Genomic DNA, 12,628 nt, shown 5'->3' with positions numbered 1-12,628 from the left:
CATATGCTGTAAGTTTGTGTGGATCATAAAATATGAGGAATAAGAAAGAAGGGGAGTTGAAAGACAAGTCTGTGAGCATTATTTATGAGTGATGAAGAGTGAAATGAATGAAAAGAAGAACAGGTAGACAGTGTCTTGAATAATGATGACTTTGATGAGTCATTATCACACAAATATGTGTGCTTCATAAAACATGAGGAATATTAAGAAGCAGAAGAGTCAAAAGACAAGTCTACTCAGAACGAGATACAGAATGAAGGAAGAGAGGAATACAAGGGAAATGCACAGAATAATGATAACTTTTATGAGACTTTCACTCACCAGCTTGGACCTTCATAAATATAAGCCATATAGAAAATAAAAGAACAGCAGAGAGGAGAGACAGGTCTGTGTGTGTCATAAAATATGAGAAAATAATGCCAACTAGGCTTGACAAAATAAAAACAAAAATAATTGAGCCTAGTACAGCTGTGGAAAGACACAATGTCTAGATTAATGTGAGCAAATAAAAAGAGTGACTTTGGAATTGTCTTGCGAATAGGGAATCAGCAAGCACCTAGGTAGGTGTTATTGTTGTAAAGGCCACCTTGTTAACTGGTGGAGGCTTGGCAAGGTAATAACTAACCCCCACCATACTCCCAAAGCAGCTAACAGCATTGAGAGCTCAGGAAACAATGCTTAACTAATTTCTAAATTGTTTGGCATCACTACAGTCTCTTCACAGCCCCCCTGGAACCAATCCATATGTCATTTGCAGGAGATTTTCTCAGCTTGTTTCCATTCAATCTACACCCACCTTGTCAAAAGTTGCTCTGTAAAGACATCTAAAAGGTTACTGTATAAAATCAGAGATGTCCTTTTATTTTCATTTCTTGTTACATTGGACTTAGAACCTGGGACCAGATCTGCCAGAATTAGTTCAAAATCCAGAACTCAATGACTTCAAATGTCTTCTCTATTAGAACAAATGGGATTTCAAAATGATACAGAAATTGGGACAATCAAACATGGCGAAGCAAGTGCCAGTATGCCATTTGCATGCCACTCAGAACCATGATTTACATAATTCATAAAATGGACAGCTCACTGGAAAAAAGCCACTGATCTATGTCACAGAGCTATGAATGTTGGTCTGAGAGTTCAGAAAATACACAAACACTAATAGCAACAATTACACTCGCTTACTTTGCGTAATACTTAATGGCTTGTAACTTTTGTTGGGAAAGCCCTTACGTAGAAGAGGATAAATCCTATTAGCATAACTTATAACCAATTCCTCTGATTGCAACAGAATTTAGTAGTGAGGTTTATTGGCTAAAACATATACAACCAACTCTGGCTTATTATAAGCTACCATCTGTAGCTTATTCAAAGGTGTTTTACTTTCTCTCAAATGATGTTTGTGGCCATGAGCCTTTACATTCCTCCCTTTACTTTCTGATTCTGTTAAAAGAATGTATAATTCCAGGATGAAATGATTAGGATTAATCTGAAAAGCCATGTTTGTCTGAATAACATGGTCCCCTTTAATCCAAGATTGAGCTGCCCTGGATACCCAGAATCCCACTTGGTTAAAAAAAAAAAAAAAAAAAAAAAAAGGTGGTATTGATGCCCTAGGAAAAATCACTGACCTTGCTCAACCTTCCTCAACCCTGCCAGCTCCAGCTATAAAATTCATGTCCAAGAGCTCAGGGCTGCCAAGACTAGGATTAAACTCTGGTGAAAAAACTGTCCCTTCCTCCCAGCAGACCAGTGAAAAAAATCCTTGCTTGGGATTTGTCCCAGGGCACTCTTCTTAACTGCCAGCCTCCTGAAATTTGTTACAGCTTGTCAGCCAGGCTAGCGCTGAAAGTCTTGTATGTTTTAGTGGACTATGTCCCTGAAAGAGAGCCCTATTTAGGGACTAGTTTAATGGAATTCCATTTTTTAGTAAGGATGGGACTCATTTGTTTAAAGGGAAAGTGTCTTGAAATATTTTATTTAAATTAGGCAAGAAAAGCAGTATACCATTGTCAGGGATCATGTCTCTTTTGCAGACTTTAACTTAAAGTGTGCTCAACTAAATTTGTTTGTTTGGTTGGCTGGTTGTTTTACCAGAAAAAGGCACTTTAGCAGTGTATATCAGGAGGCTTAAAAATATTCATACTATATATGTAAATGCATAGAAAATGCACACAACAAACTAATAGTGCTGAGTACCTCTGATGAGAACACCAAGAAGCAGGAAAAAGGCGGTCAGTAGGGACTTTAGTCTTATCTTACAATATATTTATGTATTAACTAATGTAATTAACTTTAATTTTGATAAGAGAAAAGTATCATTCCACAACTAGGACTCTCTCTCAAGGAAATAATAAGAAATTTAAGGCAGAAAAAAATTAAGAAACAACAAAATGTCCGAAAATCAGGGGTAGGTTAAGCAAGTTATAGGATACTAATTTAAGGGTGTATTATATAATAACAAAAATGATATATTAAGGAATTTCTAAATACATTGGACAATATTAATAATATGCTTTTAACCTTAAAATATCTAGATTCAGAACCATACTTAGTATGATTCTAATTTTGATGGGGAAAAAAAAAAACTCCTCCCCAGAATGTTATTAGTAGTTTTCTACTGGTTGGTGAAATTATTGTTTTCTTTGTTATACTTGACTGTTTTCCAAAGTTTCTACAACTTGACTTCTAGAATCTAGTCTCAACATGCTTTTCTGTTTGCCTTTGGTCTTGTGTTGCAGGCGTGCCTGTGTGATTCGAGGCCAAGTGGTGGCCATAGATGGAACTCCTCTAGTGGGAGTGAATGTCAGTTTCTTGCACCACAGTGATTATGGGTTTACCATCAGCCGGCAAGATGGAAGGTATGTCAATGTTGTTTCTGATCATTGTGGGGGCCAATTACTGACTTCTAGCCAGGGGTAAAACCAGGGCTCAGATGATACAGTGATGGTAAACCCATCTTTCTTCAAGTTATATCTCAAAAAGTCATTGGTGATATTTATTTCCTCTATTTCCTAATTAATTCAAACTGGATTCCTCTTCTAATCCTTCTCGAGTCTTCTTGAAACCCAGGCCATGTGAAAAGTTTTCTATCCTTTATCTAATTCCATCTATAAATCCAACTTCAAAGATCAGTGACATTATGCAAATGATAAATAAGGAGCTATGGAACACATAGGCTATTTTTCCATAGTAACCCCCAAATATTTCAGAAATGAATGCATCAAAAATATTTCTTCCAAAAGTACAGAATTCCACCACATTAATGGAGAAGCTTTAAAAATGTGTCCTCCCTAGGCTGCCTATTTGACTATTGGCTGCAACTGATAGACAAGCTTGGCCAGCCTACTTAATTATAGTGATTTATCCTGAAGCACCAACCACCAGGCTGCTCTCTAAGGGGGTTCTCTAAGATCTGAGAAGCAAGACCTTGAAGTAAAACCTTCTCATCCTGGAAAAGGATTTGCTCACAACAACATTTTTGTTGCCGTCATTTAGACAGACATTGATTCAGAATATTTGGGTCAATAGGCCCATGTGTCCAGCTTAAAGGTACCTATTTATGACTCTCAGGGACACTGTAATAATGGCTTTGAGGTGCCCTAGTCTCCAGGTGACTACCCTTAAAATGTCCTACTCATAACAAGCCACTTCAATAATCATACGCAAAAAAAGACCTGTTGGCTTCGAGCTTTATCACACTGTGAGAAACTATCTCATTTCAAGAACCTACAATCAAACCTTATTAGTCCTAGACACTTTAGAAATGTTAATTGTTCAACTTGGGCTGTGCCGGATTTATTTTTCCAAGAGCCTGTCAAGAAAGTACTTATAAAAAATTAGTTTAAAAAGATAATAAGAAAGAGTTTTAGCCTACTTAAGAAAATAAACTGTTCTTAAGGACTTTAGTAAATTATATAAATTATTTATGTATAAATTATATTGCTTATTACTAACTAACCATCTCTTCATTATAACAAGCTCAGCAGAACTATTTTGGTAGCACACACATATATGTACATATATATGCACATATATATGTGTGTGTATATATATATATATAAAACTTCATTTCCTTTCAAATATTCTATAATCAGAGTTCTCTATTAATTCAAATGGGTCTTTCTCCCAATTAGATTGAATAACGGAATTTTGGTAGTGCACTCACCAGTAACTGGTGCTTAAAACTAGCCTCACCCTTGCAAACATCTTCAACCATATGCCACAAATTGAGAAATGGGTTATTTCTCTAAATAGAATATGTCTTCTGAGACATTTGACTTTGACTTCTCGTGGAGGCCTGGTAAGACCTCATTTTTTTAGCTTACATACAAAGGTTTCGGTGAATTATTTGATATTCACACAAGAACCTAAAAGAATCTTGATACCTAAAAAGTCTAAAAATGTTTGTGTACAGTTTACAGGGAACATTAAAGAGGGTAATCTTTGTTGTTATTTTTGTGTCTTTAGTTTTAAGTGAAATGCCCCAAGCCCCTCCTCTGCTGAACTCACAGTGACAACTGAGTTTATGTAGATGACAGATACTAGTCAGAATCCCCTCTAGCAATAACTCCCCTCAGGCTCCATAAAGGTGTAAACATTCAAAATATGGGCCCCAAATGCCAACCAGACTGTTCCACTGTCATTTCCTGGACATAAAGTGACAGTGTGATGAGAGTTTCCATTTATATGTCTCTGCTTGTTGCTACCTCAGTTTGAGTAAGTACATTTCAAAAGTAGAAAATCATAAGAAAAATATACCTGAGGTCGGCCGGGCACGGTGGCTCAAGCCTGTAATCCCAGCACTTTGGGAGGCTGAGGCGGGCGGATCATGAGGTCAGGAGATCGAGACTGTCCTGGCTAACACGGTGAAACCCCGTCTCTACTAAAAATACAAAAAAAAAAAAAAATAGCTGGGCGTGGTGGCGGGCGCCTGTAGTCCCAGCTACTCGGGTGGCTGAGGCAGGAGAATTGCTTGAACCTGGGAGACAGAGGTTGCAGTGAGCCGAGATCGCGCCACGTTACTCCAGCCTGGGCAACAAAGCGAGACTCTGTCTCAAAAAAAAAAAAAAAAGAAAAAAGAAAAATATACCTGAGGTCAAAAGAGTATAGAAAGGCTGAGATTAGCATCTAGATACCTAGTAGAGAGTGTGATATGAGAGTTGCTGATAGGATCCTCCATGTCCAAATCTCAATCCCTCCAGTCGGCCACAGTGCTTATACTTTTCACCAATGGTATCACTGCTTTGGGTGAAGCTGTCAGCTCTCTCAAAGTCCCCGTTGAATGCAAATATGTCATGTGGGATGTAGAAATATTTACCCCCATTATCAACTACTTGCAAAAGTAAACTGACAAGTTTCCCTAAAGAACCAGAAAAGGTCTAGATCATGGGACCAAAGTAATTTATTCAAAGCAGAAGGAAGGATGGTGTTGAAAGACTGAGCCCTTTAAAAGTATGAAGAGATTAGATACTCACATAGAGAAGGGACTACTTAGCAGAAAAGAAAAAAGCCTATTCTAAAGGAAAGGTGAATGTTTATGAGTGTCTACTGTATGTTAGACACTTTCATGAATGTCTCTGTTTTCATCCTCACAACTATCTGAGATAAATATCATTATTATCATCCTCCCCATTTGTTGTATGAGAAAATTTATCCAGATAATAAGGATAGAGTTCAAGATTTAAACCCAAGTAATCTTGCTCTTTTCTTCTATGATTTACCACCTTCAACTTAGGTATATAACCAGTCCTCAGTCAAGTGTTGAAAGAGAACTATTTGTAAATAGTTCAGCTAATGATAAGCAAAACAGGTGAAGTGACGACATTCTTAGAAGTTTCTTGAGAAGTATTAAAGGTCTCAAGAACTTTGTTCTGAAGACTAGAAGATGAAGAGAGGGTTCCCTTTGATTCTCCTCAAGGCAAAAGTTTATTCATTTATGGATACCATGAGGCAGAGAGAGATAAGCAATTTGCATAGGTGTCAATAGCCTTCCATCTGTAGATAGGACTGGTTGGACTTATGTGTTGACAACAATCTCCAAACAAATAAATCCTCTCCCTTGGGTCTTTTATATCCACTCTCATATGACTTAATAACCTGTTATTAATGGCCCGTGCAAATGGAGGTGTTTTGTGGTGGGAGAAATCCCAAAGAAGTAATCATTCAGCATTCTATTTGGCATTGGAAATGGTTTAGATGGATCTCTGGCCACAGTTCCACCTTCCGTCTCCATGTCAATTAATGAGTCAGCCAGGCAGTGTTTACTGTGTATAACTGCGAGGTGGAAAGATGAGAAGTGTATCAGTCAGGGCTTTCCAGGGAAACAACATATGACATAGATATAGATATTGATATTATTGTCTTGAGAGAGGGATTTATTCCAAGGAATTTGCTTATAAGATTGTGGGGATTGGCAAGTCTGAAATCTGTCGGGCAGGCTAGAAGACTGGAAACTCTCAGGAAAGAGATGCAGTGGTCTTAAGGCCGAATTTCTTCTTCCTCACAGAAACAGTTTTGCCCACCCACATTATCAAGGATCATCTCCTTTACTTAAATTCAACTGATTATAGATAATAGCCACATCTCCGAAAGACCTCCACAGCAATACCTAGATTGGTGTTTCATTAAATAACTTAGAACTATAACCTAGGCAATAGAGATATAAAATGAACGATCATAAGAAGCCTAAGGGAAGTCCCAAGGAGACCTTAAAAATCAGTATCTGCTCATGGAGATAATCAAAAGCTGACCTATAGTTCACTTGAACTACAAAAAAAAGAAAACATATGGCAAATGTAGTAGGGCAATGAATCTGATTTGAGAAGAAATGTAACAGTTGTTGAGTTCCTACTATATGCTTGACCCTTAAGTCTTTATCTCATTCATTTACAATAGCAGCTAAGAGATAGATTATAGAGGCTTCATTTTACTAACGAGAAAACTGCATCTCAGGAAGGTTAAATAACTAGCCCAAAGACACAAAGCTAACAGGGCAGAGCTGGGATTCAAACCCAGATATATATGAAACCAAACCCACATTCTTTCTACAAAACAAGATGCCTGGCCTGTCTGTGTAATCTTTCCAGAAGTACAGAATAAAAGTTTTTTTTTAAAAAGAGAGAGAATAATTTCCAGGCACCTATGTTTTTATCTGGATAGTTTATTTAGTTTTCATGTTTGTGTTTGTTTTTTGTTTTTAAATAAATAAGCACTTCAATTTTGAGTCAAGAGTCAAGGTTTGGGTGAGGCAGATAAACTTCCCCAAGAACACATACTTAAATCCACATAGAAGGTGAACTAGAGGAAAGGTTTCTTGACAAGTAGTGTCAGATTCTCCCCACTACACTTGCCTTAAACTGTTCCTGTAGTATTATGAATTCAGACCCTCTGTCTTAAACCATAAACCGTTTGTGTTTTCTTTTTTCTTTTGGTTCAAACCTAAATTATTTTCTGTAGCTAATGCAGTTCTTCAAATCCTCTTTTTGGAAACTGCCTTAATATTAAGCTACTTTACTGAAAAAGCAGCAATAAAAAACACGGTATTATCCATCCTTTGTTACTGTTCATTTATCTTTATCTGCAAGATTTCTGCAACAAAACACGATTGGTAATACTATAATAAATATAATAAATGTCATAGGAAGAGAGTGATGAGATGTCCATAATTAAGTCTGATTCCCTATCAGGGCTTTTTATCGTTGAAAAAGTGTTTTGCTGAAAGATCTTTTTTAATGCAGGCAATTGCTTACATCTCTCTCCTGTGGATTTAAGTTGCCTTGAATATTAAGTAACATCATATTGCCCTTTATCCATTTTTAACATAAAAATGATAATAATTTATCATTATCTTACTTTTTTATATAGGAGTTTATGCTTTTCAGATGCTCTCAAGTACGTCATCTCAAAGACGTCATTATACTTAAAAGAGAAGTAATCTAGTGCAGAATGAAATGAAATCTGAATCTGTTCAGCTCCAATGCAATAGTCTTGTCATAGACCACATCTAGAGATAGACAGAGCTGGCTTACAGCAGAGGTAGTCTTGCTTTGTCATGGATAGAGAAGGAGTTGTTGGTGAAGTTGTGCAGGGTTCATTACAGGCTGTCTTACAAAAAGAAACCAAAAACCATTGTGAAGCAAACCAGAGATCTTAAATCTGAGGTGCAAGTAGACTAGGAGGCCAAAGAGGGTAGTCAAATGTAGAAGGCTTGGTCGGGCATAGCTGAGTTCAAAGAAATTTTCCCTAACAATTGTCCTCTGCTGATATCTTTCTCCAAATGCCATCTCAAAGACACTGTCTGCTTTCTGACACGATGTTTGTGACCCTGAACAAGATATTTAACCTTTTGGCTCCTTACTTTTCTTATGTTACATTATAGGATTTTTTGGAAAATGAATAATGCATCATTCTCAAAGATGCTGCTAAATGTTAGATAGTCATCTTTCTGTTATCTTTAGCATAAGGGGAGCAGCTGTGTCAGATTTGGCTTTGCAGAAATGCATGCAGTGATTTTTGTTTAAGATAGTGTTAAAATTAACTGGTTTACAGGCTGGGCGCAGTGGCTCACACCTGTAATCCCAGCACTTTGGGAGGCCAAGGCGGGTGAATCATCTAAGGTCAGGAGTTCAAGAACAACCTGACGAATATGGTGAAATCCCATGCCTACTAAAGAATACAAAAATTAGCCTTGCATGGTGGTATGCAGCTGTAGTCCCAGCTACTCGGGAGGCTGAGACAGGAGAATCGCTTGAACCCAGGAGGCGGAGGTTGCAGTGAGCCGAGATCACACCACTGCACTCCAGCCTGGGGTGACAGAGCAAGACTCCATCTCAAAAAAAAAAAAAAAAAATTGGTTTACAAATTTCAAGGGAATATCAACTGGTGACATGGAATGTCTTCCTAGAAGACCACTAGATAGTGAAAAGAAGTCATCTACGGAATGAATACATTGCTAGAGAGAATTTATAAAATAGACAATACAAGTGGATATAGTTGAGTCCCCCCAAAAAGGAAAGGGCACTGAAATTAACCTATTTTTTAACTGTAATTTTTTAATTTTTCATTTGATTGCAACTGTCTTATGTTTTTCCTTCTTAGCTTTGACCTCGTGGCCATCGGTGGCATCTCTGTCATCTTAATCTTCGACCGATCCCCTTTCCTGCCTGAGAAGAGAACACTCTGGTTGCCTTGGAATCAGTTTATTGTGGTAGAGAAAGTCACCATGCAGAGAGTTGTATCAGACCCGCCATCCTGCGATATCTCCAACTTTATCAGCCCAAACCCTATTGTGCTTCCTTCACCGCTCACATCATTTGGAGGGTCCTGTCCAGAGAGGGGAACTATTGTTCCTGAGCTGCAGGTGAGTATATTGGCCTTTGAATGTATAAAATAATAATATCATGGAGTGGTCAACAGTGTATAATAGCTAAATTCCTTTTCCTATTCTTGTTACCATCCTTATAATGTGCTGCCCTTTATTTGTCAAGAGAAGTCTTCAAATGTTTTTCTGGCATACATTTTTAAGACAATTGGTCAGGGCATTAGAATGCTGTCTGTGGCCATGGAATAGAACAAGATTAAGTAGCTTTCATAAGAATTAAACTCCAATCTTTGACCTAATAAACACTGTGCTCTAAGAACAAAGCTAGCTGGCTTATTAGTAATAACAGTATAATCCATGAGCTTGGACTGTTTGTGGTTCTGAAATTAAAGCTCCTTAAGAAATTTAGTTTTTGAGCTGGGCGTGGCGGCTCATGCCTGTAATCCCAGCACTTTGGGAGGCCAAGGTGGGCAGATCACCTAAGGTTGAGAGTTCAAGACCAGCCTGACCAACATGGAGAAACCCTGTCTCTACTAAAAATACAAAATTAGTCAGGCATGGTGGCACATGCCTGTAATCCCAGCTACTCAGGAGGCTGAGGCAGGAGAATTGCTTGAACCCGTGAGACGGAGGTTGCAGTGAGCTGAGACTGCACCATTGCCCTCCAGCCTGGGCAACAAGAGTGAAACTCTGTCTCCAAAAAAAAAAAAAAAGAAATCTACTTTTCTTCCTGTTGTCTAGTTTGTATCATTGTCATTGTTCTTAGAAGACATGACAAGTTCTCTCATCTAGCTGTGTAAAGTAAATGTAGTTTTCAAGCCTGTGCAGTTTTTTTTTTTAAAAAAGCTTTGCTTCTGAGTGTTCAAGCTTTATAGTCAGGAGAAGACATTTTTGAACCTCGATATTTTAACATTCCTGAGAATTATTCTTTATTGAACATTCAATATTGTCATTTCAATATTAAACTATTCAACCATAGTACAATTCCCTCACCACATTATAGAAACATTTTAATGATAATTAAATGTGGAAACCACCAAAATGGACTCATAGGTCTTAACAGATCCAGAAATCCAGAAGGAAATGCATGCTCCAAGATAGAATTGATTGTTCTTTCATCATAACACCACCCACCAGCTCTTAGCAGTGCCTAGAGAATACCACTTAGATAAGGCTCACACAAAAATACTGCCCTTCAGGAAAAGCAGTCCAAAGAGCTACCCCTTATCTTTTCCATTGCCCTTTGCTTACAAAGGGAGAAAAAACAAGACAGTGTTTAATGAGTACATTTGATTGGTATGCCAATCCCTTCACAGATGTCATTAGGAAGTACGGGTCTTCTTTCAGCACGAAAGTTTCCAGGCTTATTTAGGATTGCATGTTTTCTTAGGAAAATGAACTACTAAGTTGGTGAGTGTCAGGCTATCCTTCTCTATTGTACTTCTGTCACCAACTGAGAAGACAGCTGGTGGACAACTCTGGTATCAAATGGCTAAGGTAGAGGAAGAAAAACTGGCAAAGTGTACACAAAAGGTATCGTGTCCTCAGAAACAGGAGAAAGACCAAAAATGCTGGACAATATGAGATGCCATATGTTTAACAATCAGTTCTTCTATGTGCACAAGTTTGGAAAAGTAAGAGAGAACAAGGTTCTGAGGTAAAAATGAATAAGAGCATGAAAATATCTACGCTATTCATGTCACCTTAAGTGTATTGAATAGGATGGGCTTTTTCTTCAGAGGTCTTTTGAAAGATGAAAGTCAAAGAACACATGATTCAATTTTAGTTACCACCTTTGGTTATTTAACTTTATCTGTGGTGATAAGCAAACAAGTAATAACAATTAATTAAAGCCACATGGTATTTTTACTCTGAGACCAACGTTTAGTGTAAAATTTGCAGAGGAATTGGTGAGAGTTATTTGCTTCTCAGTCACAAGTGCCAACTTGGAGAAACTTGTTCCCAGCCATTGCTACATCCAGGCACAGAGAAATATGTAAGAAAAATTTGATTAAAAATTTGGCCTCAGGGTCATTTCAAAGCTCCAAGGAAAACGAATTTGATGGCATCGGTAAAGATTAATTCTAGGGAAACTATAATCTTTGTCATAAAATATCACTTGCTGGGCCTGCTTCTTGAGTTCTTCCTCTTAGAGAGCTTAGCCTGAATAAGGATTACACCAATGGTTTTATGATATATGACTTAACACCAAACAAGATTTTGTGTATGTCTGTATAAGAAAAAGACCCCTTAATGGAGCCCATAGTGCTGAATTGCTTGACATTCAGCGGTATGATCTTTTTCAACTCCTACTAAGCAGTTTTTGGAACACTATTGAAAAGCTGAAATTGTTCCTTACACAATCTTTCCTGGCATGGGGAAAAAATAAATGCAATCCTTAAGGTTGGGTCTTGTCTCCATTCAGGTTTGGTGCAAAATTCAAAACCTATTATCATACAGTCTCACAAAGATTCAAGAACAAATGCCTTGACGTCCTTAGACCTGTTTAAGCTCTCTCCTTTGGCATGTTTCAAAGACAACAAAGCATGCAATATCCTCATCTACCTGCGACCACTGACAAGAGCCTATTTGGCTTTTTTTTTTTTTTTTTATTTCAGGTTGTACAGGAGGAAATTCCCATTCCCTCCAGCTTTGTGAGGCTGAGTTACCTGAGCAGCCGCACCCCTGGGTATAAAACCCTGCTACGGATCCTTCTGACACATTCAACGATTCCTGTAGGCATGATAAAAGTACACCTCACAGTAGCTGTGGAAGGGCGACTCACACAGAAGTGGTTTCCCGCCGCAATTAATCTTGTCTACACATTTGCTTGGAACAAGACCGACATCTATGGACAGAAGGTTTGGGGCCTGGCAGAGGCTTTGGGTATGTTGAACTAATTATATGTAAATAGCAGTATTACATGCACAGAACAGAAAATACTTGTTACATGTTAATTTGTATTTGGAATAATTACTGATTTTCTTCTGTTTAAAGGACCTAAGGCATTTTTAATTTAAACACTACCTTGAGGCCAGTTTAGAGTTCCCTTTTGACACATTTTTGCTTCAAAAAGATTTTAGTTCTCCTTTCATGATGGCTGCGTACCAATGGACTCATGCAATATCTGACTTGTAACTGTCACCAGAGCCAAATGCTGCCTTCTAAATGTGACCTTTGGTGTGGCGTTCTATAAGGCCATGTTTTTGGATTTGACATTTAGACTGTCATTTCTACTTAGAGACTACAAAATTCTAACTTATGGCCATCTCCACTTACTATCTTTTATGTCTAAGATGGTTAGAC

At 37.8% G+C, this 12,628-nt stretch overlaps 1 protein-coding gene across 14 annotated transcripts in view; it reads left to right on the top strand.

Moving 5' to 3' along the window:
• TENM1 (teneurin transmembrane protein 1) overlaps positions 1-12,628 on the top strand; it is an 828,410-nt gene that overhangs the window by 671,588 nt on the left and 144,194 nt on the right. For all 14 annotated transcript variants that reach the window (XM_017029210.3, XM_017029211.3, XM_047441760.1 and 11 more), the window contains 3 exons: positions 2,742-2,861; positions 9,100-9,361; positions 11,941-12,208. In XM_017029210.3, the coding sequence (XP_016884699.1) occupies positions 2,742-2,861; positions 9,100-9,361; positions 11,941-12,208 (650 nt within the window). The remainder of the gene's footprint in view (positions 1-2,741; positions 2,862-9,099; positions 9,362-11,940; positions 12,209-12,628) is intronic.

This window comes from Homo sapiens, chromosome X (assembly GCF_000001405.40).
Source record: "Homo sapiens chromosome X, GRCh38.p14 Primary Assembly".
In the NCBI taxonomy this organism is placed as follows: Eukaryota; Metazoa; Chordata; class Mammalia; order Primates; family Hominidae; genus Homo; species Homo sapiens.
The sequence above is the reverse complement of the archived record's forward strand: the minus strand, read 5'-3'. Positions and strand labels throughout refer to the sequence as shown.